Here is a 27,402-nt window from a genome sequence, read left to right on the forward strand (position 1 = left end):
ATTGCATTCAGGAAGAACCTTGTGACTGGTTCTTTCTAACAGAAGGAGTGTGAGCTGAACTGATGTGTGTCAGCTGAGGTGGTGGTGGTGGGGTCAAGGGCAGGGACTGGAGTGGAGGGCATGACAAGAAGGGATGCAGCTAGTTCAGGAAGACCAGTGTCAGAGGAGTCAGGGCCCAGGGATCCAAGGTCCATGTTAATGTTTCCACTCTATCCCCAGTGCCAGCCCTGCACCCCACTCCTGCCCCTGCTTGGTGCTCAATGACCCTGTGTCTGGCTTCTCTGGGGAGAACTGACTCTGTCTTATTCACTTCCCTTTCTCCAGGCTCTCAGGTAATTTTCTCTACTCTGATAAGTAAGTTGCTTCTCATTCTTTCCTTTTCCATCTTCCAAACACTTATTGAAATCCTTTTCTGTTATTCTCTTTATCTTTATGAATTTTATCGTTTTACTTCCCTTAACCGTCATTGTGATGGCTTGGGGAGTGTATTAGGTTCCAAGGGCTGCTGTGACACATTACCACAAAATTAGGGGCTTAACACAACAGAAATTTATTCTTTCACAGTTCTGGGGTCCAGAAATCTAAACTCAGTTTCATTAGGCCTAAATCAAGGTGTTGGCAGGGCCTCTTTCGGCTTCTGGTGGCTGCTGGCATTCCTTGGCTTGTGACTCCATCACTCCAGTTTCTGCATGATCACAATTTCCTCCTCCTCTTCTGTTGGTACCAAATCTCCTTCAGCCTCTCTCCTATAAGGACACTTGTGATTGTATTTAGGGCCCACCCAGATAATTCAGGATAACCATCCAAAGATCCTTGACTTAATTACATCTGCCACGTACTTGCCACATAAAGTAACATTCACAGATTCTGGAGATTAGGATGTAGACACATCTTTGGGAGCCATTATTTAGCCTACGACAGGGAGAGAAGATGAAAGCATATGGTCAGTCTACAATATTTAATGGGGGTTCTTTCCGTGTTTTCCTCTAGTGCCTTGCAATTTCCTTTTAGCATTTCAATCTTTGATCTAATTGGAATCTATTTCAGAATGGAGCTTCCTTGTTATCCCAAATGCCAATTTTTAATTTTATTATTTTATTTTATTTTTTTGAGATGGAATCTTGCTCTGTCACCCAGGCTGGGGTACGGTGGCACAATCTCAGCTCACTGCAACATCCACTTCCCGGGTTCAAGTGATTCTCCTGCCTTAGCCTCCTGAGTAGCGGAGATTACAGATGCCCACATCCAAGGTGGCTAATTTTTTTTTCTTTTTTGTATTTTCAGTAGAGATGGGGTTTTGCCATGTTGGCCAGGCTGGTCTTGAATTCCTGACCTCAAGTGATCCGCCCATCTCGGCCTCCCAAAGTGCTGGGAGTACAGACATGAGCCACCATGCCCGGTTGCCAATTTTAAAATATTTTGTCTTTTCTCCCTGGATATGAAATAAAAGTGATTAGGTCTTAAGATAAAAAAATTAAAACACATTTATTTTCCTGTAACATGCAAAAATGCAAAAAAAAAAAAAAAGAAAGTAAAATAAAATAGATATAATTTTGGAGAAATTGCCTTTGCTCACTGTGGATTCTGGAGGGTGTGAGTGATGGACAGGTCCATCTGTGCATGGAGAATGGAAAGCCCCTTCTCCAGGATCACCCTTTACCTTAGGAGAACACCTCAGCTCCAGGCACCAAGCAGGAGTATCATAGGCACTTAGCTTTACTCCTATAGACAAATAAGAGTGGGGAGACTATGTGGTAAGGAATGATACCCTTACACTCTTTCCAGCCCTTCCCAGTCTTACAAGGAGTGACACACTTGGTGGCCTTCAAGCCTGTCACTGCAATTCATGCAGTGGGTGGTAAGAGGACAAAGCACGCTAGGTCCCTGATCCGACCTCCCAGGGATGACAGGTCTGGCTACTCCTCAAACTGAACCTGAAAGAATGCAAATGGTTCAAGTTTTCACCCTGATTCTGGCACACCCCGAGGCAAAAATAGCCATTTGCCTTCATACGAGCTTCTGTGTAGGCTGTGAATAAGGAGGTTTCTATCTCAGCTTTCTTTTTGCTCATTTAAAGACAACTGAGAGTACGACAGGGTAATTGTTTTGTTTTAAAGCACTGTAATTTAGTTCCTTTCTGGACCTTCTATGTATGAGTCATTTTCTGTAGCAGTACTAAGAGATGCAAATAGAAAAACATTATTTCTGAAAGCTTGAGATTTCAAGCTGGGCCTTTTATTCACATTCTCTTGCTAGTTTTAGTTTTACTTGTGACATTCATGTTATTAGAAGAATGACACAATTTCAATCACATTTTTGTCCCATGTACTAATGTAGCAAACAATTTCACAACCTTCCCTTTCTTTTACATGTGAGTCATTATCATTTGGTTTTGTTCTCCTTTACTCCTGAACTCACTATCTCCTGATCACATGTATACACATTTCTCTGATATCCTAGATCTTTATGGGTGATCAAGATTTTTGTATATTCTGTTTTGTTGCTTTCATACCCGCTAGTATCCTTTTTAAGTTTGACTCTTTTATACTTTGGGAGATGCCAAACAAATACTTCAGGAGAAAGGAGGCAGTGTGTTGAAAGGAAGTTGACAAAGCAAGAAGAAAAGAAGAAGAAGATATAAGGAGGAAACGTAGTGGCTCTTAAACAAAGATCTTGCATCTTTTCCTTCTTTAATTTTTTTTTTTTTTTTTTTTTTTTTTGGTTTGAGACAGAGTGTCACTCTGTCATCCAGGCTGGAGTACGGTGGTGCAACCTTGGCTCACTGCAACCTCCACCTGCTGGGTTCAAGCGATTCTCCTGCTTCAGCCTCCTGAGTAGCTGGGACTACAGGCGCAGGTTACCACGCCTGGCTAATTTTTGTATTTTTAGTGGAGGTGGGTTTCACCATGTGGGCCAGGCTGGTCTCGAACTCCTGACCTCAAATGATCCACCCACCTCGGCCTCCCAAAGTGCTGGGATTACAAAACAGAATTGCTTGAACCCAGGAGGGAGAGGTTGCAGTGAGCTGAGATGGCGCCACTGCACTCTAGCCTGGGCAACAGAGCGAGACTCCATCTCAAAAACAAACAAACAAACAAACCAAACCCAACTTTGAACCCAGAATCAGAAAGCAGATTTAATTTGGAACTCTATAGAATGTCTGCACATGAACAGATGCCATAGCCGTAACAAAAATTAGGGCCACAGCCACTTTTCTTGCATCTCCTCCTTCCTCCTTTTTTCTTTGGCTTTCTTGTATAAACCTTAGCATAAGGCATGGTTGCTTGGTTTACAAAATATTTGTTTATGAAAGTTGCAAAGGTGAGAAGAGGGATTTCAGAATCAGAAAGACTGGGTTTCAAATTTTGGCTTTGCTCTGTGACCTTTGGCAAATTATATAACTTCATTAAGCTTCAGCTTTTCCCTAGTAAATATTTGACTGATGAGAGGTAAATGAGAAAATGTGTATAAAAATCTTAGTATAGTGCTTAGCATTTCAAGCAACCCAGAATATCAACTAATTTGTTAAATGAATATTTCTTGAATATTTACTGTATGCTGAACTGTCTGCCAGGTTGAGGCTGCTGTGGTGAATTGGACAGGAAAGATTCCTGGCCTTGTGGAGCTTGCATTCTGGTGGGAAAAACAGACAATAAACATGTAAACAAATCAATAAAATAACCAGATGGTGAGAAGCCCTGAAAGAAATAAAAAAAAAAGTGTGTTATTAAGAACAGCAGGGAGGATCTGTGTCCTATGCTGGGGAAGTCAGGGAAGATTTCACAGCAGCCTGAAGAATGAGAAAGAGCCAGCTGTACTATGAGCTGTTTAAGACAGAGGAAATTGGGTCACTGGCTTAGAGAGAGATTGGGTTCTACTCACTGTCAGAGGCCAGCAGTGCAAGGTTCCTCCTTATCTTCTTATGGCCTGTGTCCTTCTATAGCCCTGGCCACTGAGAATTGGCTCAGACTGTGACTGTGACTTGCTGTCCTCAACTTCCTTATCCAACTGAAATTGGATGGTCCATCATAGTCACCCTCTTGAATAGATCCCAAACTCCCTTGTCCTTTTAATTGTACTTTAAACTCACTTGGCCAAACTCCAACCCTGGTTAAATCCAGCTCTCTGCCCTACTCCATGTCTTTGCCCATTGAGTATGGTGGAAGAATAGCCCACAATCTCATTGGCTGGTTCTATGGTCTGAATGTTGGTATGCTTTCCAAAATCATAGGCTGAAACTTAATCCTCAATGTCATAGCATGGAGGTGGAGACTTTGGGGGAAGTGATTAAGTCATGAAGACTGCCTTCATAAATGGGATAATGTAAAGGAGATTAAAAGGAGGCTGTTTGCTCCCTTCTACCATGTGAGAATGCAGCAAGAGGTACCATCTCTGTGCAATGAGCCCTTACCAGACATTGAACCTGCTGGCACTTTATCTTGGACTTCCCAGCCTCCAGAACTGTGAGCAATACATTTCTGTTGTTTATAAATTACCCAGTGTAAGATACTTTGTTATAGCAGCACAAATGGACTAAGACTAAGGACCTCAGTTCCACTTTAAATTCGCCGAGGTCGTTATGCTACCAAGCAATCTTATGAGATTCCCCTGTTCCCTCTCTCTTCTACTCTCCCTACTCCAGGTTCATGAAGAGAGGGGTTGGAGTATCATGATCTCTACTCCCCCTCCACCAGGTAGATAAGAGAGGGGCAGCTCTGTGAACCCAAGCTTGCCTAGCCCCAGCTCCCCTTCCTGCCACTCTCTCTACTCAGATCCTGGTCATTCCATTCTTCAAAGCTCAGCTATTCTCTCTCTTGAAAAGTGCCCTTTTTCCATCAAACACATAAAACCTGTTCAAAGAACTAAGGCAGCAGGTGATTCTTGGCATCCAACAGGAGCTTACAACAAAGGGTGGGAGTATGTAAGACAGGATCCTTTTTTTATCAGTTGCCCCACTAACCTTGGGCAAATCACAAATTTCCATCTCTGAGATGTGCTCTGATGATGATGTGTGGGAGAGCATTTTAAAAAGTAGTAGAGCGCTAAGCACATCCACAAACTATAATCCAATTCAATAAATTATATCACATCTTGATAATCAAATGTTGCAGAAATTTTAATTACTCCATGTATTATTGTAATAATTACTCTATGTATTATTAATTACTCCATGTATAATTAATAAGTCATGGGTATTTAGGGAATTACAAGCCTTTTAAATGTATTTTTTCCTCTTTCCCTCAAATACATACACACCATAAAATCACAGCCTTATGGCTTTAATTTTAATATACTTGTTAACCTTTTATTTCTAATCCAATGAGTATCACAAATCCACCTCCAACCCACCTTAATTCCTAAAGTTTTGTATGTTTGCAAAAACAAACTCTTGGCATTCGGATTAAAATCAAATCTGTTGTTCTTTCCATGGCACATTGCTTTGTCCTGCTGGTTACTTTATTAGTTCATTTCAGGGTCCTTCCGCTGGGAGTTCTCACTCAGACTGGCTGGGGAGAACTCTGGCAGGCTGCCTAATGGACTCTTAGGGTGTGGAATCCACAGTGAATTCCCCGTTCAAATCTTCCTCTGAGAAATTTTGATACTTGCCAGACTGTTTCCTTTCTACTAGGGCTCCATCTACTGGACAAAAATGACCAGTAGTGCCTGCGCTTCTCCATTATGGCTTTGAAATTTTCAAATTAGGTGGAAATCTAATACACCTTCTCTTTGTTAAAAGAAACACTTTAGACAAATTAAATTTAACAGTGTTTGAGCAGAGAATGATACAATAGTTGGGCTGCCCCCAGAACCAGAACAGGTTCAGAGCAAACCCGGGGCTACTACGTGGTTGAATAACATTTATGGAGAAAGGAAAGTGACGGACTAAAGACAGAAGTGAGGTACAGAAACAGCTGGATTGGTGACAGCTGGGTGTTTGCCTTATACAAACAGTTGGCCACCTGTGATTGGCTGAAACTCAGCTGCTGTGATTGGCTGAGCCTCAGCTGCTTGTCACAAGAGCAGGTCATAGTCTGTTTGCACATTCAGTTAGGTTACAGTTCACTATGTATGGAGAAACCTTTAGGCTGAACTTAAAATATGTAAGGAAGTAGCTTTAGGCTAAACTTAATTTAACATTTAAATTTAATTTTACACATTAAAATTATTGTCCTAGGTTGTTCATGCTGTTGCAACAAAATACCGTAAACTGGGTAGCTAATACACAACAGAAACTTATTTCTCACAGTTTTGAAGTCTGAGAAGTCCAAGATCAAGGTGCCAGCAGATCTGGTGTCTGGTGAGAGCCAGCTTTCTCATAGAGCATGACTTCTTGCTGTGTCCTCACTTGGTGGAAGGGGCAGAGGCCCTTTTAAAAGGGCACTTAGTTGATTCATAGGACTCTGCCCTCATGCCCTAGGCCTCCAAAGGCCTGCTTTCTAAATACCATCCTCACCTTGGGGGTTAGAATTTCAACATACGAATTAGCGGGGGACACAAACATTCAGACCACAGCAATTATACTTAATTCTGCCTTTTCAAGGTCTCTGCTCTATTCCTGGACACAAAGAGTTTAAATGTTTTTTGGTCCTACCTCCTGGATACATTTTCTTTTCTTTTTTTGAGACAAGTTCTCACTCTGTTGGCCAGGCTGGTGTGCAATGGTGTGATCTTGACTTACTGTGACCTCTGCCTCCCAGGCTCAAGTGATCCTCCCACTTCAGCCTCCCAGTAGCTGCAACTACTGCCACCATGCCTGGATAATTTTTATATTTTTTTTTCTAGAGATAGGGCTTAGCAATGTTGCCCAGGCTGGTCTTAAACTCTTGGCCGCAAGCAATCTGCCCACTTGGACCAAAGTGCTGGGATAACAGGTGTGAGCCACCACGCCTGGCCCTGGACACATTTTGCTTTTTGGAGGAAAGTTCTAGTGTCCTTTAATAGTAATTAATTATTTGGACTAAAGACTTTTGGAAGCTACAGACTTTCATTCATGTTACAGGTCCTAAATTGCTGTTTTCAGTGTGCAAAGGTTGCCTTTCTGAAGAACCTTCCATTAATAATTTTTACTTCTGTTAGGATCACATGGACTGACTTGAGTCTTGGGTTTTTTTTTTTTTTTTTTTTTTTTGAGACAGTCTCGCTTTGTTGCCCAGGTTGGAGTGCAACGATGCGATCTCAGCTCACTACAACCTCTACCTCCTGGGTTCAAGCGATTCTCCTGCCTCAGCCTCCTGAGTAGCTGGGACTACAGGTGCGCACCACCACGCCCTGTAGTTTTTTTTTTTTTTTTTTTTTTGTATTTTTTAGTAGAGTCGGGGTTTCACCATGTTAACCAAGATGGTCTCGATCTCTTGACCTCGTGATCAGCCCGCCTTGGCCTCCAAAGTGCTGGGTGGTTCTAAGTGAACACATTTCTTATATAGTTTTCCAGGCCCTTTACCCTCCTTCTCTCAGGGAAATCTGGTCCAAGATATTATCTGCAAATTTCTTTTGTTTTTTTTTTTTTTGAGACAGAGTCTCACTCTGTCACCCAGGCTGGAGTGCAGTGGTGTGATCTCGGCTCACTGCAACCTCTTCCTCCCAGGTTCAAGAGATTCTCCTATCTCAGACTCCTGAGTAAGTGGGACTACAGGCAAGTATCACTGTGCCTGGCTAATTTTTGTATTTTTAGTAGAGACAGGGTTTCACCATGTTGGTCAGGCTGGTCTTGAATTCCTGACCTCAGGTGATCCACCCGCCTCAGCCTCCCAAAGTGCCGGGATTACAGATGTGAGCCACTGCGCCCGGCCTATCTATAACTTTCTAACAGTTGGAATTGCATTTTTGGCTGTTTCACTTTACTTCTACGCTCAGGTTTGATGAAAGAAATAATGTATACAGTGGTCCATTTCCAAGACAAAGTGCCTTGAATCGGCTTCAGTCAGCAAACTACAGAAGAAACAGGATATACCAGGCCCCTGCTTGGATACCCTGTCCCCTCCCACCACCTTAGTTGCCCTCACCTGAACCAAAGAAGTTTAAGATGAAAGTTTACCAGCCTGCAAAATAGCTCACTTTGTCTGTTCTTATCAGCCTGCCCAGCTATTTAGGTCATAAGTCAAATTCTTGAAGAGTCCTTAAGTTAAGTAGGATTGCAATGTATTGTGGCCTACAACAAAATGCAGCAGGACAACCCTGAAGAAGACACCCAAAGCCCCTACCCAACCACCATTCGGTGACGTCTGGGAAGATTGTGACCCCATAGTACTCAGCCTATGAGGAACTGGGGGAGGGACCTGTGCATGAGGGCATAAATTGCTTGTTGAAACCGTGCTGGGTGTGCCTGCCTATCAAACACTCAGTCTTGCTAGACTGTCCTTAGAAGTCTCACTTTCCCTGTTCTCCAGGTCTTTGAGTCCATTCTTTGATTTGAATGGGTGAGTTTGTTTCTCACATTTGAGGATGAGTTTCTTCAGTTCATTATTTTTTTCAGTGAATATTTATTGAATGCCTCCTATGAGCAAAACACTGGTTTAGGCATCAGGAGTGTATTAAAGTTGCTGCCCTCCTGAAGAGTATATTCTGGAAGGTAGGAGGAAGTGTTGAAATGAGGACAGACAATAAATAAGTAAACACATAGAATGCGAGATGGTCGATTGGTGCAAGACTCTATAGTATAGAGAATAGTAAAGCAGGGAAAAGGAGATGGAGAGTAGGGGGTGGGCAAAAAAATTATATGGTTTGCAAAAGCTTCACTAATAAAGTGACATTTGAAAGACACCCAAAGAAAATGAGAGAATGGGGCATGTGGCTGTCTGGGGGAAAAACACTGTAGGCAAAGGGAGGAGTAAATGAAAAAGCCCTGAGGTAAAGGCGTGTGTGGCTGGAAAGGAATTGAAGGATAGGAAATAAGATCAGATAGGCAGGAAGCAGCAGATCATGTGGGGCCTTGTAAGCCACTGTAAAGATTTTACCTCTGCACTGAATAAGATACGAAGCCATTTGAGTACTTTGAGCAGAGGAGTGACATTTATAGTAAGATTGTTCTGGCTATTATATTGAGAATGGACAACAAGAAGAGCAAATGCAGAGGCACAGAGAGAAAACCTATGGCTACTGGAACAATCCAGGCAAGAAAGTATGGGGGCTTGGACCAGAGTGGTAGAAGATGGAAGATAAGAAGCGATCTGACTTTAATAGATCCTCAGGATTAAACTGACAGAATTTGCTTATGGATTGATTGGATGTGAGATGAGAGATGAAGAGAGGCTGTAAGCATGACTGCAAGGTTTTTGGCTTAAGAAAACTACAGGGTAGAGTTATGATTAGTTGAGATGGAGAAGACAATGAGAGGAGAGAGTTTTTTTTTTTTTCAAGGGAAGTAATGCAGAAATCAATATATCCGTTTTGCATGTGTTAATCTGAGAGTCCTGTTAGACATCCAAGTAAAGATGTTGAGTAGGTAGTTGGAAAATCAGATTTGGAATTCAGGATAGAGGCCTGAGCTGGAGGTATAAACACATGCTTCAGCAACAGATGATATTTAGATATATTTTAAAGCCAGGAACCTACATTAGATTTCCAAACAGAAACAGGGGAAAATAAAAGTTTGAGGATTGATCCCTGAGGCACTGCAACAGTTAGAATTGGGAACATGAGGATAAACCAGCAAAAGAGACTGAGAAAAGACCCCAAGATAGGGGCAGAACCAAGAATGCTGTCCTCCAAGACAACGGAAGGAAGCATTTGCCACATGACAAATGATGCGGGTGGGATCAAGTAAGACAAGGACAGAAAATAGACCATGACATTTAGCTATGTGGAAATCATTGATGACATAGATTAGAGCAATTTCAGTGAAGTGATGAAGTGAAAGTTTAAATTTGATGGTTTAAGGAAAGGATGGGAGGATAGAAATGGAAGATAGTGTATACATTGGTCGTCTCTTAAAAATAATAATCCAAACTGGAAACAACTCAACTATCCCATCAACAGGTGAATACATAACCAAATTGTGTATAAAGAGTATAAAGAGATAATGAGAGGAGTGACAGAGAAGATGGACTATCTGTAACTCTTGTTTGTTTTTTTGTTTCGAGACAGGCTCTTGCTCTGTCACCCATGCTGGAGTGCAGTGGTGTGATCTTGACTCACTGCAACCTCCACTTCCTGGGCTGAAGGGATCCTCCCACTTCAGCCTCCAGAGTAGCTGGGTCTACAGTCATGAGCCACTTTGTATTTTTTTGTAGAAATGGGGTTTCACCATATTGCCCAGGCTGGTGTTGAACTCCTGAGCTGTGATCTGCCCACTTCAGCCTCCCAACCCAGCCAAGTATCTGTAACTCTTGAGGAATTTTTCTGTAAAGAGGGACAGAAAAATGAAACAGTAGCTGGAGAACAAGGTGACATCAAGAAAATCAACTTCATTGAGGCATAATTTACGTACAGTAAAATGTTCATATTTTAATTGCACCTTTCTATGAGTTTTGACAAAAGTACGCATACACCTTTAGTAGCCACTGCCACAGTCAATATATAGAATATTTCCATCATGTCTGTACTCTTGCACCCTTACCCACAGGCAATCACTGATCAGCTTTAGTTTTCTGCTAGTTCTAGGATTAATATGATTGAATCATACAGTATGTAATCTTTTTATTTTAATTAATTTTAAGTTTTTATTTTTAGTAGAGATGATGTCTTGCCACATTGCCCAGGCTGGTCTCAAACTCCAGGCCTAAAGGGATCTTCTGACTTTGGCCTCCCAAAGTGCTGAGATTATAGGTATGAACCATCACGCTCGGCCTATATGCAATCTTTTCTGTCTGGTTTCTTTTGCTTAGCATAATGTTTTTGAAATTTGTTCCTGTTGTTTTTATTAGCAGCTTATTCCTTTCTCTTGCTGACTTGTATTCTATTTTACAGACGTGCATAATTTGGTTATATATTCACCTGTTGATGAGACAGTTGGGTTGTTTCTAGTTTGGACTATTACTAGTAAAGCCATGACAACAATCGTGTGCAAATCTTTTTAAGGATAGCATTTCATTTCTCTTGACTGTGTCATTCTGGGTCACGTAATATATATTAACTGTATATTTAACTTTATAGGAGACTGCTGGAATACCTTCTCAAGTGAGTGTACCATTTCACATTCTTAACAGTTGCCTCACATCATTTCCAACACTTCATATTGTCAGTCTTTTACATTTTAGCCATTCAAATGAATGTATAGTAGTATATATTTTTGTGGTTTGAATTCCTTGATGAGTTAGTTATAATGGTGAGTATCTTTTCAAGTGCTTACTCGCAAATCCTATTAATTCTTTTGCAAGGTATTTGTTCAGAAGGTTTTTGCCCATTTTAAGTTGGGTTGTTTTTCTTGTTATCAAATTGTAAGAGTTCTTTATATTCTGGATACAAGTCCTTTGTTAGATATATGTGTGGTGAATATTTTCTCCCAGTCTATGGCTTGTCTTTTTTTATTTTCTTATCAATGTCTTTCAAAGAGCAGCAGTTTTAATTAGAAAAAAGTCCAACTTATCAATTTTTTTCTTTTTTTTTACTTTTTATTTATTTACTTTTTATTATACTTTAAGTTCTGTCACATATGGATTCATGTGCCATGTTGGTGTGCGGCACCCATTAACTGGTCATTTACATTAGGTATATCTCCTAATGCTATCCCTCCCCCCTCCCCAAACCCCACAACAGGCCCTGGTGAGTGATGTCCCCCTTCCTGTGTCCAAGTGTTCTCACTGTTCAATTCCCACCTATGAGTGAGAACATGCGATGTTTGGTTTTTTTGTCCTTGCAATAGTTTGCTGAGAATGATGGTTTCCAGCTTCCTCCGTGTCCCTACAAAGGACATGAACTCATCCTTTTTTAAGGCTGCATAGTATTCCATGGTGTATATGTGCCACATTTTCTTAATCCAGTCTATCACTGTTGGACATTTGGGTTGGTTCCAGGTCTTTACTATTGTGAATAGTGCTGCAATAAACATACGTGTGCATGTGTCTTTATAGCAGCATGATTTATAATCCTTTGGGTATATACCCAGTAATGGGATGGCTGGGTCAAATGGTATTTCTAGTTCTAGATCCCTGAGGAATCACCACACTGTCTTCCACAATGGTTGAACCAGTTTACAGTCCCACCAACAGTATAAAAGTGTTCCTATTTCTCCACATCCTCTCCAGCACCTGTTGTTTCCTGACTTTTTAATGATCGCCATTCTAACTGGTGTGAGATGGTATCTGATTGTGGTTTTGATTTGCATTTCTCTGATGGCCAGTGATGATGAGCATTTTTTCATGTGTCTGTTGGCTGCATAGATGTCTTCTTTTGAGAAGTGTTTGTTCATATCCTTCGCCCACTTGTTGATGGGGTTGTTTGTTTTTTTCTTGTAAATTTGTTTGAGTTCATTGTAGATTCTGGATATTAGCCCTTGGTCAGATGAGTAGGTTGCAAAAATGTTCTCCCATTCTGTAGGTTGCCTGTTCACTCTGATGGTAGTTTCTTTTGCTGTGCAGAAGCTCTTTTGTTTAATTAGATCCCATTTGTCAATTTTGGCTTTTGTTGCCATTGCTTTTGGTGTTTTAGACATGAAGTCCTTGCCTATGCCTATGTCCTGAATGGTATTGCCTAGGTTTTCTTCTAGGGTTTTTATAGTTTTAGGTCTAACATGTAAGTCTTTAATCCATCTTGAATTAATTTTTGTATAAGGTGTGAGGAAGGGATCCAGTTTCAGCTTTCTGCATGTGGCTAGCCAGTTTTCCCAGCACCATTTGTTAAATAGGGAATCCTTTCCCCATTTCTTGTTTTTGTCAGGTTTGTCAAAGATCAGATAGCTGTAGATGTGTGGTATTATTTCTGAGTGCTCTGTTCTATTCCATTGGTCTATATCTCTGTTTTCGTACCAGTACCTTGTTGTTTTGGCTACTGTTGCCTTGTAGTATAGTTCGAAGTCAGATAGCATGATGCCTCCAGCTTTGTTCTTTTGGCTTAGGATTGACTTGGCAATGCGGGCTCTTTTTTGGTTGCATATGAACTTTAAAGTAGTTTTTTCCAATTCTGTGAAGAAAGTCATTGGTAGCTTGATGGGGGTGGCATTGAATCTATAAATTACCTTGGGCAGTATGGCCATTTTCACGATATTGATTCTTCCTATCCATGAGCATGGAATGTTCTTCCATTTATTTGTATACTTTTTTATTTCATTGAGCAGTCGTTTGTAGTTCTCCTTGAAGAGGTCCTTCACATCCACTGTAAGCTGGATTCCTAGGTATTTTATTCTCTTTGAAGCAATTGTGAATGGGAGTTCACTCATGATTTGGCTCTCTGTTTGTCTGTTATTGGTGTATAAGAATGCTTGTGATTTTTGCACATTGATTTTGTATCTTGAGACTTTGCTGAAGTTGCTTATCAGCTTAAGGAGATTTTGGGCTGAGACGATGGGGTTTTCTAGATATACAATCATGTCATCTGCAAACAGGGACAATTTGACTTTCTCTTTTCCTAATTGAATAGCCTTTATTTCTTTCTCCTGCCTGATTGCCCTGGCCAGAACTTCCAACACTATGTTGAATAGGAGTGGTGAGAGACGGCACCCCTGTCTTGTGCCAGTTTTCAAAGGGAATGCTTCCAGTTTTTGCCCATTCAGTATGATATTGGCTGTGGGTTTGTCATAGATAGCTCTTATTATTTTGAGATACGTCCCATCAATACCTAATTTATTGAGAGTTTTTAGCATGAAGGACTGTTGAATTTTGTCAAAGGCCTGTTCTGCATCTATTGAGATAATCATGTGGTTTTTGTCATTGGTTCTGTTTATATGCTGGATTACCTTTATTGATTTGCATATGTTGAACCAGCCTTGCATCCCAGGGATGAAGCCCACTTGATCATGGTGGATAAGCTTTTTGATGTGCTGCTGGATTCGGTTTGCCAGTATTTTATTGAGGATTTTTACATCGATGTTCATCAGGGATATTGGTCTAAAATTCTCTTTTTTTGTTGTGTCTCTGCCAGGCTTTGGTATTAGGATGATGCTGGCCTCATAAAATGAGTTAGGGAGGATTCCCTCTTTTTCTATTGATTGGAATAGTTTCAGAAGGAATTGTACCAGCTCCTCCTTGTACCTCTGGTAGAATTCAGCTGTAAATCCATCTGGTCCTGGACTTTTTTTGGTTGGTAAGCTATTAATTATTGCCTCAGTTTCAGAGGCTGTTATTGGTCTATTCAGAGATTCAACTTCTTCCTGGTTTAGTCTTGGGAGAGTGTATGTGTCCAGGAATTTATCCATTTCTTCTAGATTTTCTAGTTTATTTGCATAGAGGTGTTTATAGCATTCTCTGATGGTAGTTTGTATTTCTGTGGGATCAGTGGTGATATCCCCCTTATCTTTTTTTATGGTGTCTGTTTGATTCTTCTCTCTTTTCTTCTTTGTTAGTCTTGCTAGCGGTCTCTCAATTTTGTTGATCTCTTCAGAAAACCAGCTCCTGGATTCATTGATTTTTTGAAGCGTTTTTTGTGTCTCTATTTCCTTCAGTTCTGCTCTGATCTTAGTTATTTCTTGCCTTCTGCTAGCTTTTGAAAATGTTTGCTCTTGCTTCTCTAGTTCTTTTAATTGTGATGTTAAGGTGTCAATTTTAGATCTTTTCTGCTTTCTCTTGTGGGCATTTAGTGCTATAAATTTCCCTCTACACACTGCTCTGAATGTGTCCCAGAGATTCTGTTATGTTGTGTCTTTGTTCTGGTTGGTTTCAAAGAACATCTTTTATTTCTGCCTTCATTTCTTTATGTACCCAATAGTCATTCAGGAGCAGGTTGTTCAGTTTCCATGTAGTTGAGCAGTTTTGAATGAGTTTCTTAATCCTAAGTTCTAGTTTGATTGCAATGTGGTCTGGGAGACAGTTTGTTATAATTTCTGTTCTTTCACATTTGCTGAGGAGTGCTTTACTTCCAACTGTGTGGTCAATTTTGGAATAAGTGTGGTGTGGTGCTGAGAAGAATGTATATTCTGTTGATTTGGGGTGGAGAGTTCGGTAGATGTCTATTAGGTCTGCTTGGTGCAGAGCTGAGTTCAATTCCTGGATATCCTTGTTAACTTTCTGTGTCGTTGATCTGTCTAATGTTGACAGTGGGGTGTTAAAGTCTCTCATTATTATTGTGTGGGAGTCTAAGTCTCTTTGTAGGTCTCTAAAGACTTGTTTTGTGAATCTGGGTGCTCCTGTATTGGGTGCATATATATTTAAGATAGTTAGCTCTTCTTGTTGAATTGATCCCTTTACCATTATGTAATGGCCTTCTTTGTCTCTTTTGATTTTTGTTGGTTTAAAGTCTGTTTTATCAGAGACTAGGATTGCATCCCCTGCCTTTTTTTGTTTTCCATTTGCTTGTTAGATCTTCTTCTATCCCTTTATTTTGAGCCTATGTGTGTCCTGAATACAGCACACTGGTGGGTCTTGATTCTTTATCCAATTTGCCAGTCTGTGTCTTTTAATTGGAGCATTTAGCCCATTTACATTTAAAGTTAATATTGTTATGTGTGAATTTGATCCTGTCATTATGATGTTAGCTGGTTATTTTGCTCGTTAGTTGATGCAGTTTCTTCCTAGCCTTGATGGTCTTTGCAATTTGGCATGTTTTTGCAGTAGCTGGTACCAGTTGTTCCTTTCCATGTTTAGTGCTTCCTTCAGGAGCTCTTTTAGGGCATGCCTGGTGGTGACAAAATCTGTCAACATTTGCTTGTCTGTAAAGGATTTTATTTCTCCTTCACTTATGAAGCTTAGTTTGGCTGGATATGAAATTCTGGGTTGAAAATTCTTTTCTTTAAGAATGTTGAATATTGGCCCCCACTCTCTTCTGGCTTGTAGAGTTTCTTCCAAGAGATCCACTTTAGTCTGATGGGCTTCCCTTTGTGGGTAACCCAACCTTTCTCTCTGGCTGCCCTTAACATTTTTTCCTTCATTTCAACTTTGGTGAATCTGACAATGATGTGTCTTGGAGTTGCTCTTCTCGAGGAGTATCTCTGTGGTGTTCTCTGTATTTCCTGAATTTGAATGTTGGCCTGCCTTGCTAGGTTGGGGAAGTTCTGGATAATATCCTGCAGAGTGTTTTCCAACTTGATTCCATTCTCCCCGTCACTTTCAGGTACACCAATCAGTGGTAGATTTGGTCATTTCACATAGTCCCATATTTCTTGGAGGCTTTGTTCATTTCTTATTACTCTTTTTTCTCAAAACTTCTCTTCTCACTTTATTTCATTCATTTGATCTTCTATCACTGATACCCTTCTTCCAATTGATTGAATCGGCCACTGAAGCTTGTGCATTCATCACATAGTTCTCATGCCATGGTTTTCAGCTCCATCAGGTCCTTTAGGGACTTCTCTGCATTGGTTATTCTAGTTAGCCATTCATCTAATCTTTTTTCAAGGTTTTTAACTTCTTTGTGTTGGGTTCAAACTTCCTCCTTTTGCTCAGAGAAGTTTGATCGTCTGAAGCCTTCTTCTCTCAACTCATCAAAGTCATTCTCCATCCAGCTTTGTTCCATTGCTGGTGAGGAGTTGCGTTCCTTTGAAGGAGGATAGGCGCTCTGATTTTTAGAATTTTCAGTTTTTCTGCTCTATTTTTTCCTCATCTTTGTGGTTTTATCTACCTTTGGTCTTTGATGATGGTGACGTACAGATGGGATTTTGGTGTGGATGTCCTTTCTGTTTGTTAGTTTTCCTTCTAACAGTGAGGACCCTCAGCTGCAGGTCTGTTGGAGTTTGCTGGAGGTCCACTCCAGACCCTGTTTGCCTGGGTATCAGCCACGGAGGCTGCAGAACAGAGAATATTGGTGAACGGCAAATGTTGCTGCCTGATTGTTCCTCTGGAAGTTTCGTCTCAGAGGGGTACCCAGCCATGTGAGGTGTCAGTCTGCCCCTACTGGGAGGTGCCTCCCAGTTAGGCTACTCAGGGGTCAGGGACCAACTTGAGGAGGCAGTCTGTCCATTCTCAGATCTCAGGCTCTGTGCTGGGAGAACCACTACTCTCTTCCAAGCTGTCCGACAGGGACTTTTAAGTCTGCAGAGGTTTCTACTGCCTTTTGTTCTGCTATGCCCTGCCCCCATAGGTGGAGTCTACAGAGGCAGGCAGGCCTCCTTGAGCTGCGGTGGGCTCCACCCAGTTCGAGCTTCCTGGCCGCTTTGTTTACCTACTCAAGCCTCAGCAATGGTGAGCTCCCCTCCCCCAGTCTCGCTGTGGTGTTGCAGTTTGATCTCAGACTGGTGTGCTGGCAATGAGCGAGGCTCTGTGGGCGTAGGACCCTCCGAGCCATGCGCAGGATATAATATCCTGGTGTGCTGTTTGCTAAGACCATTGGAAAAGTGCAGTATTAGGGTGGGAGTGACCCAATTTTCCAGGTGCCATTTGTCACCCCTTCCCTTGGCTATGAAAGAGAATTCCCTCACCCCTTGCACTTCCCAGGTGAGGCGATGCCTCGCCCTGCTTCGGCTCATGGTCAGTGCACTGCACCCACTGTCCTGCACCCACTGTCCAACAATCCCCAGTGAGATGAACCTGGTACCTCAGTTGGAAGTGCAGAAATCACCCGCCTTCTGCGTCGCTCATGCTGGGAGCTATAGACTGGAGCTGTTCCTATTCAGCCATCTTTGAACTGCCCCCCTATTTCAGGTACCAATTTTTTTCTTTTCTTTTATGTTTTTGAGACAGATTCTCACTCTGTCACCCAGGTTGAAGTGCAGTGACATGATCTCGGCTCACTGCAACCTCCGCCTCCAGGGTTCAAGCGATTCTCCTGCCTCAGCCTCTCGAGTACCTGGGATTACAGGTGTGTGCCACCATGCCCAGCTAATTTTTGTATTTTTAGTAGAGTTGGGATTTCGTCATATTAGCCAGGCTGGTCTCAAACTCCTGACCTCAAGTGATCTATCTGCCTGCCTCGGCCTCCCAAAGTTCTGGGATTACAGGCATGAACCACTAAGCCCAGCCAATTTTTTTTTTTGTTTGAGACAGAGTTTTGCTTTTGTCACCCAGGCTGGGGTGCAGTGTTATGAACTTGGCTCACTGCAACCTCCACCTCTTGGGTTCAAGTGATTCTCATGCCTCAGCCTCCTGAGTAGATGGGAACCTCCCGAGGTGCACATCACCACACTTGGCTAATTTTTGTATTTTAGTAGAGACCGGGTTTCATCATGTTGGTCAGGCTGGTCTTGAACTCCTGACCTCAGGTGATCCACCTGCCTCAGCCTCCCACAGTGCTGGAATTACAAGCGTGAGCCACACAGCACCTAGCCCCAGCCGATTTTTTTCTTTTCTTTTCTTTTTTCTTTTTTTTGAGGCAATTTTTTTCTTTTATGATTTATGTTTTTGTGTTCTTTCTAGAAAATCTTTGTCTACTTCACAGTCATGAAAATGTTTTTCTGTGCTTTGTTATAAACGGTTTATTGTTCAGCTTTTTTGTTCAGATATGTGATCCATTTGAGTCAATATTATGTATCATTTGAAGAAAGGATCAAGGTTAATTTTTTCCTTTGAAAATGGTATCCCTTTATTCCATCCCCACTTGCAGAAGACACTGTCCTTTCTTCATTAAATTACTTTGGATGCTGTGTTGAAGGTCAACTGACCATTGCAAAAGTGGGTTCTATTTCCTGGTTCAGCTTTCTCACTCCCTTTCAACCTCCCTTTCTTCCTTCCTTCACTTTTCTTAAATTTCTTTTTTGTTGTTAACCAAAGTTCATACCTTATTCAGATTTCCCTAGTTACATTTCCTTAGGGCCTAATGTCTTTTTGCTGTCCCAGGATTTCATCCTGGATACCACATTACATTTAGTCATCATGTCTCTTCAGGTTCCTTTTGGCTGTGACAGTTTCTCAGAAATTTCTTGGTTTTGATGACCTTGGCAATTTCGAAGAGTCCTGGTCAAGTATTTTGTAGAATGTTGCTCAACTGGGGTTTCTTTGATGTTTTTCTCATGGTTAGTCTTGGGTTACGGGTTTTGGGAGGAAGACCACAGGGGTGATGTGACAGTCTCATAACATCATATCAATGCTACACACCGTCAACATGACTTATTGTGTTGATGTTGACTTTGATCAGTTGGATGACGTAGTGTTTGTCAGGTCTTTCCAGTGTAAAGTAATCTTTTCTCCCCCTTTCCATTCTGTACTCTTATGCACAACTTTCACTTAGAATGGGGACTTAATCTTCACTTTTTGAGGGCAGAGTATCTACATAAAATGATTTGGAATTTTTCTGCAGGAAAGAGTTGTCTATTTCTCACTGTTTATTTATTCAGTCATTTATTTATATCAGTATTGGATACTTATTTTATACTTTGGGTTATAATCCATTTTAATTTTTGTTGCTGAAATTGTTTTCTTTGGCCACTGGGAGCTGTCCCAGTTGGTTCCTGTGTCCCTTTGACATGCCCCAATTGTTGCATATGTCTGTTTCTGAGCAGTTCTTTACATTCTGGTGCTACAAAATGCTCCAGGCTGATTTTGTATATTTTCTGCTCTAGTCGTAGAATTAACCATTTCTCCAAGGATCCCTCCTTTTTTTTTTAATTGGGAAATGCTATTAGAAACTAAGTTCTATACATTCTATTTCTATATTTGTGGGCCATATTACCAACATGAAGAATAAAAGAGAGGATATCACTATAGAATCCTACAAATGCTTAAAAGGTTTGATAAGTTTGACCAGTTCCCTGAAAAATACACACATACACACATCATTGACTTTATTACAAATAATTTTCCCATGAAGAAAACTCCGGGACCGTGTGATTTTGCTAGTTAAGTCTATTGAACATTTAAAGATCCGTAATACTAATATTATACTAACTCTTTGAGAAAGTAGAGGGGTGAACACTTCCCAAAACATTTTATGAGGTTAGTATAAGCCTGATACCAAACCTGAGAGAGAAATTAAAAGAGAAAACGATGTAAATAAAATCCCTTCTTACCACAGATACAGAAATCCCCTGTCAAATACTGGCAGATCAAATCCAGAAATACAGGCCAGGCGTGGTGGCTCACACCTGTAATCCCAGCACTTCGGGAGGTTGAGGTGGGATCCCTTGATGTCAGGAGTTCAAGACTGGCCTGGCCAACGTGGTGAAACCCTGTCTCTACTAAAAATACAAAAATTAGCTGGGGGTGGGGGTGCATGCCTGTAGTCCCAGCTACTTTAGAGGCTGAGATGGTGCCAGTGCACTCCAGCCTGGGCGACAGAGCAACACTACTCTCACAAAAGAAAAGAAAAGAAAAAAATGTAATATAAATTAAATATTAATGTTATATAAATTATTTATATGTAATTGTGTTTGCAAAATTTATAATGGTATATATTCATTTAATTTATATCAGAATGAAATTTTTTTATATGAGGAAAACCTTTTCTAACCAGCAATTAACTAGATGTCAAAGAATACAGTGTCAGAATGCACAAGATAATTAATATTTATGATAATCTGTTAGATTATGTGATGACAGCAAAAAATAAATCTGATTGCATACATGAGAGTTTTTTATTCTTTTACTTCACCCAAACACATCAGGCTATCATCTTTACTTTTCTGTAACAAAGCTCATGTTGACTGAGTTGCAAGTCAAAGTAGAAAACTACTAAAATGAGTTAGAAGAAAACAAGGTACATTAAACCTATAAATTATATAGACATGGAAAGAGCATGAGATTTTAAAGTGAAAAAAATTAGATTGAGTTCTTTAGTCACTATTGGCAAACTGTTTGTCCTTGGGCAAGGTACTTAACCATTCCCCTGAACCTCAGTTTTTCATCTGTGAGATAAAAACAATAACAATAATAGCCTTCAGAAAGCACATAATGCAGGTCTCAGGCTAAGTTTTTTATGTGCATTACCTCATTTAGCCTTCACATCAACCATGTGAGGTGGGTACTGTAATACCGTTATAACCCCAGTCTACAGATGAGGAAACTAAAGCTTGAGAGGTTAGGTAATTCTCCCCATGACATGCAGCAAGTACGTGATGAAGCAGGGATTCAAAGCATGACTCTAAAACCCAGGGCCTTAATTATTACACTATACTACTGCTATGGTTTCCATGTGGTTTGTCTCTGCCAAAACTAATGTTGAAATTTAATTGCAATGTAAGGATGTTGGGAGGTGGAACTTTTTTTTTTTTTTTTTTTTTTGACAGAGTCTCACTCTGTCGCCCAGGCTGGAGTACAGTGGTGTGATCTCAGCTCACTGCATCCTCCTCCTCCCAGTTTCAAGCGATTCTTGTGCCTCAGCCTCCTGGGTAGCTGGAATTACAGGTGTGTGCCACCCTACCTGGCTAGTTTGTGTATTTTTAGTAGAGATGGTGTTTCACCATGTTGGTCAGGCTGCTCTCGAACTTCCAACCTCAGGTGATCTGTCTGCCTTGGCCTCCCAAAGTGCCAGGATTATAGGCATGAGCCACTATGCCCAGCCTAAGAGGTGGAACTTTTAAGAGGTGGGACCTCATGGGAGGTATTTGTGTCATGGGAGCTCCATCTTTATAGGCAGCTCCATTCTTGCAGTAGTGAGTTCTTTCTCACTCTTGAAAGACTAGACTAGTTCTTTTTAAAAAATAATTAATTTTTAATGTTTGTGGGTACATAGTAGGTGTGTATATTTGCAGGGTACATGAGATGTTTTCATACAGGCATGCAATGTGAAATAATCACATGGTGAATGGGGTATCCATTTCCTCAAACAATTATTCTTTATGTTACAAACAATCCAATGACACTCTTTTAGTTATTTAAAAATGTAGAATTGAGTCATTATTGACTATAGTCACCCTGTTTTGTGATCAAATCCTAGCCCATATTCATTCTTTCTAACTTTTTTTTGTACCCTTTAACCATCCCCACCTCCCCTCTGCTCCCCAGTACCATTTTCAGCCTCTGGTAAGCATCTTTCTACTATCTCCATGGGTTTGATTGTTTTGATTTTTAGATCCCACAAATAAGTGAGAACATGTGATGTTTATCTTTCTGGGTTGGCTTATTTCACTTATAATGACCTCCTGTTCCATCCATGTTGTTGCAAATGGCAAAATCTCATTATTTTTTATGGCTGAATGGTATTCAATTGTGTATATGTACTTTTTTTAATCCATTCATCTGTTGATGGACACTTAGGTTGCTTCCAAATCTTAGCTATTATGGGCTGGGCACGGTGGCTCACGCCATCATCCCAGCACTTTGGGAGGCTGAGGTGGGCAGATCACTCGAGGTCAGGAGTTCGAGACTAGCCTGGACAACATGGTGAAGCCCCGTCTTTACTAAAAATACAAAAATTATCCTGGCATGGTGATGCACACCTGTAATTCCAGCTACTAGGGAGGCTGAGGCAGCAGAATCTCTTGAACCCGGGAGGTGGAGATTGCAGTGAGCTGAGATTGTGCCAATGCACTCCAACTTGGGTGACAGAGCGAGACTCTGTCTCAAAAAGGAAAAAAAAAAGAAGAAAACAAATCTTAGCTATTATGAACAGTGCTGCAACAAACATAGGAGTTCAAATATCTCTTTAATATACTGGTTTCCTTTTTTTGTGACTGTATACCCAACAATGCGACTGCTGGATCATATGGTAGCTCTATTTTTCGTTTTCTTGAGGAACTTCCAAACTATTCTCCATATAGGTTGTACTAATTTACATTCCCATCAACAGTGTATGAGGGTTCCCTTTTCTCCACATCCTTGCCAGCCTTTGTTGTTATCTGTTTTTTGGATATAAGCCATTTTAACTGGGGCGAGATGATAGATATCTGATTGTAGTTTTGATTTGCATTTATCTGATGATCAATGATGTTGAGCACCTTTTCATATGTCTGTTTATCATTTGTATGTCTTCTTTAGAGAGGTGTCTATTCAAGTCTTTTGCTCATTTTTTGATTGGATGATTAGATTTTTTTTCCTACAGAGTTGTTCGAGCTCCTTATATATTCTTGTTGTTAATTCTTTGTGAGATGAATATGTTGCAAATATTCTCTCCCATTCTGTGGGTTGCCTCTTTACTTTGTTGATTGTTTCCTTTTCTGTAAAGAAGTTTTTAACCTCGAAGTGATCCCAGTTGTCCATTTTTGCTTTGGTTGCCTGTGCTTGTGGGGGTATTGTTCAAAAAATTTTTGCCCAGACTAATGTCCTGGAGATTTTCCCTAATGTTTTCCTCTAGTAGTTTCATGGTTTGGGGTCTTGGACTTAAGTCTTTAATCAATTTTGAGTTGTTTTTTTTTTCTTTTTTTTTTTTGTTGAGACAGAGTCTCACTCCATCGCCCAGGCTGGAGTGCAGTGATGTGATCTCAATCTCCACCTCCCGGGTTCAAGCGATTCTCCTGCCTCAGCCTCCTGAGTAGCTGAGATTACAGGTGCCCAGCTAATTTTATAAAATATTTTTAGTAGAGATGGGGTTTCACCATGTTGGACAGGTTGGTCTCAAACTCCTGACCTCAGGTAATCTGCTCACCTCAGCCTCCCAAAGTGCTGGGATTACAGGCATGAGCCACTGCACTCAGCCTGATTTAATTTTTTATATGGTGAGAGATAGGGATCTAGTTTTATTCTTCTGCATATGGATATCCAGTATTCCCAGCACCATTTATTGAAGAGATTCTTTTTCCCAGTGTATGTTCTTAGACCTTTATCAAAAATGAGCTCACTGTAAGTGTGTGGATTTGTTTCTGGGTTTTCTATTGTTCCATTGGTCTATGTGTCTGTCTTTATGCCAGTGTCATGCTGTTTTGGTTACCATAGTTCTGTAGTATAATTTGAAGTCAGATAATGTGATTCATCCAGTTTTGTTATTTTTGCTTAGGATAGGTTTGGCTATTCTGGGTCTTTTGTGGTTCCATACAAATTTTAAAATAGTTTTTATCTATTTCTGTGAAGAATGTAAGTGGTATTTTGATAGGGATTGCACTGAATCTGTAGATTGCTTTGGGTGGTATGGACATTTTAACCATATTGATTCTTCCAATCCATGAACATGAACTACTTTTTCATTTTTTGTTGTCCTCTTCAATTTCTTTCATCAGTGTTTTATAGTTCTCATTACAGAGATTTTTCACTCCTTTCATTAAGTTAATTCCTAGGCATTTAATTTTATTTGTAGCTGTTATAAATGGGATTACTTTTTAATTTCTTTTTCAGATTGCTCACTGTTGGCATATAGAAATGCTACTGATTTTTCTATGTTGTTTTTGTATCCTGCAGCTTTACTGAATTTATCAGTTCTAATAGTTTTCTTGTAGAATCTTTAGGTTTTTCCAACTATAAGATCATATCATCTGCAAACAAGGATAATTTGACTTCTTCCATTCCAATTTGAATGCCCTTTATTTCTTTCTCTTGTCTGATTGCTTTAGCTAGGACTTCCAGTACTATGTTGAATAACAGTGGTGAAAGTGGCCATCCTTGTCATGTTCCAGATCTTAGGGGAAAGGCTTTCAGTTTTTCCTCATTTAGTATGATACTAGCTGTGTGTCTGTGGTATATGGCTTTTGTTATGTTGAGGTATGTTCCTTCTATACCCAGTTTTTTGAGGGTTTTTATGACAAAGGGATGTTGATTTTTTTTTTTTCCAAGATGGAGTCTCAGTCTGTCACCCAGGCTGGAGTGCAGTGTCGTGATCTCGGCTCACTGCAACCTCCACCTCCTAGGTTCAAGCAATTCTCCTGCCTCAGCCTCCTGAGTAGCTGGGATTACAGGTGCCTGCCACCACACCCAGCTAATTTTTGTATTTTTAGTAGAGACAGAGTTTCACCATGTTGACCAGGCTGGTCTCGAACTCCTGACCTCGTGATCTGCCCACCTTGGCCTCCCAAAGTACTGGGATTACAGGTATCAGCCACTGCACCTGGCTGGGATGTTGAATTTTATCAAATGGTTTTCTGCATCAATTGAAATGATCATGAGATTTTTTTTTTCATTCTGTTCATATGACACATCACACATGTTGGGAGCAGGCCCCCCAAGATCTGGCCATAAACTGGCCCCAAAAATGGCCATAAACAAAATCTCTGCAGCACTGTAACATGTTCATAATGGCCCTAACGCCCAAGCTGGGAGGTTCTGGGTTTACGGGAATGAGGGTAAGCAACACCTGGCCCACTCAGGGCGGAAAACCACTTAAAGGCATTCTTAAGTCACAAACAATAGCATGAGCAATCTGTGCCTTAAGGACATGCTCCTACTGCAGTTAACTAGCCCAACCTATTTCTTTAATTTGGCCCATCCCTTCGTTTTCCATAAGGGATACTTTTAGTTAATTTAGTATCTATAGAAACAATGCTAATGACTGGTTTGCTGTTAATAAATATGTGGGTAAATCTCTGTTTGGGGCTCTCAGCTCTGAAGGCTGTGAGACCCCTGATTTCCCACTTCACACCTCTATATTTCTGTGTGTGTGTCTTTAATTCCTCTAGTGCCTCTGGGTTAGGGTCTCCCTGACCGAGCTGGTCTCAGCAAGTGGCGTCCATTTGTGGGGGCTCAAATCCAGGTCGAAGGGTCACCGGAGCAATGGTTGGAAGGGAAAACTAGCTGGAGGACACCCGAGTACTCTTAAAGCAATCCCCATGGTAAGAAGGGGAGCTCGGAAGCATCAGGGTAACAATGGAACAGGTGTGGGGTCTGGTTCATTTCCCCTTGGAACTTTTCACACTGATAATGAGGAGGAACAAGAGTATAGTGAAGTAACAGAAGAGGTTACAGAGCATGTTTATTAACCATATAAAGCTAAAGTGGCAAAGGAAGGAGAGATTCATCCCTACCCTTCTGCACCCCCTCATTATTATTTTGAAGAAAAAGACCCTCCAGATCTTTCTTTTCCAGAGGACACCGGGCAAAAAGTAGTTGTCCCAGTGACTGTTCAAGCAGCACCTTGAGTGACCGCTCTTAGTTCTATTCAGGCAGGAATTCAGCAAGCTAGATGAGAGGGTGATTTAGAGGCTTGGCAGTTCCCTGTTAGACTACAACTCCCAGATCAACGGGGAAGTATTATAGCTACATTTGAGCATTTTCCTTTTAAATTACTCAAAGAATTTAAACAAGCTATAAATCAGTATGGACCAGGTTCTCCTTTTGTAATGGGACCGTTAAAGAATGTTGCTGTTTCCAGTTGGATGATTCCTACTGACTGGGATGCTGTTACTCAAGCTTGTCTAACTCCTGGTCAGTTCTTACAATTTAAAACTTGGTGGGCAGATGAAGCTTCCATTCAGGCTGCTTGCAATGCCCAGGCCCAACATCAAATTAATGTAACTGTAGACCAACTTTTGGGGGTTGGCGGCTGGGCTGGTTTAGATGCGCAACTGGTCATGCAGGATGATGCCATAGAACAGCTTAGAGGAGTGTGCATTAGAGCTTGGGAAAAAATCACTATAGGTGGAGAACATTACCCTTCCTTTAGTGCTATAAAACGGACCAAGAGAACCATATGTTGATTTTATAGCTCAGTTACAGGAGTCTCTTAAAAAGATGATTGCAGATTCGGCTGCTCAGGTTATAGTGTTGCAGTTATTAGCTTTTGACAATGCTAATGCCGATTGCCAGGCTGCTCTGCAACCTGTCAGAGGGAAAGCACATTTAGTTGATTACATCAAGGCCTGTGATGGTATCAGAGGTAATCTGCATAAAGCTACTTTGTTGGCACAGGAAATGGCAGGACTGAGAGTGGATAAAGGAAATACTCCATTTCCTGGAGCTTGTTTTAACTATGGGAAGCATGGTCATACTAAAAAAGAATGTAGAAAAAAATCAGTGAGTCAGGCAGCCAGATGGGGAAAAAGGAAAACTGCTGATCCTGAAATATGTCCAAAATGTAAAAAAGGGAAATATTGGGCTAATCAGTGTCACTCTAAGTTTGACAAAGATGGGACCCTGATTTCGGGAAATGCCATGAGGGGTCCGTCCTGGGCCCTGTTCTAAACCGGGGCATTTCCGGCTCAGGCCATTCCCTTACCCCTGTACAATGTCTGTCCCCTGCCACAGCCGGTAGTGCCACAGTAGATTTATGCTGCACAAAAGCTGTGAGCCTTCTACCTGGGGAACCCCTGCAAAAGGTCCCAACAGGAGTCTGTGGACACTTGCCAGCGGGGACAATAGGATTACTTTTAGGAAGGTCTAGTTTAGGTTTAAAAGGGGTACAAATACATACAGGAGTCATTGATTCAGATTACAATGGGGAAATTCAAATTATTATATCTACTTCTGTTCCCTGGAAAGCAGAGCCAGGAGAGTGCATAGCACAGCTCCTGATTGTGCCATATATGAGAATGGGAAAAAATGAAACTAAATGAACAGGAGGATTTGGAAGCACAAATAAACAAGGCAAAGCAGCTTATTGGGTAAATCAAATTACTGATAAATGTCCTACCTGTGAAATAACTATTCAAGG

The 27,402-nt window shown here is 40.9% G+C and overlaps 2 long non-coding RNA genes across 10 annotated transcripts in view; one reads left to right on the forward strand and one right to left on the reverse strand.

The window, feature by feature from the left end:
* LINC02732 (long intergenic non-protein coding RNA 2732) overlaps window positions 1-27,402 on the forward strand; it is a 51,795-nt gene that overhangs the window by 16,144 nt on the left and 8,249 nt on the right. Inside the window, exon 3 of the long non-coding RNA NR_135100.2 lies at window positions 10,669-10,764. This is a non-coding gene — a long non-coding RNA (long intergenic non-protein coding RNA 2732). The remainder of the gene's footprint in view (window positions 1-10,668; window positions 10,765-27,402) is intronic.
* LOC107984385 (uncharacterized) lies at window positions 527-6,344 on the reverse strand. 9 transcript variants are annotated; one of them, XR_001748377.2, is made up of 3 exons: window positions 6,246-6,344; window positions 3,553-3,633; window positions 527-912 (listed from the first exon to the last, which is right to left on the reverse strand). It is a non-coding gene; the product is annotated as an uncharacterized LOC107984385 (long non-coding RNA). The 9 variants fall into 9 exon arrangements; XR_001748375.2 differs by having other exon boundaries at window positions 3,553-4,008; XR_001748374.2 differs by lacking the exon at window positions 6,246-6,344 and adding an exon at window positions 4,091-5,914 and having other exon boundaries at window positions 3,553-4,008.

Source organism: Homo sapiens, chromosome 11, assembly GCF_000001405.40.
Source record: "Homo sapiens chromosome 11, GRCh38.p14 Primary Assembly".
NCBI classification, from domain to species: domain Eukaryota; kingdom Metazoa; phylum Chordata; class Mammalia; order Primates; family Hominidae; genus Homo; species Homo sapiens.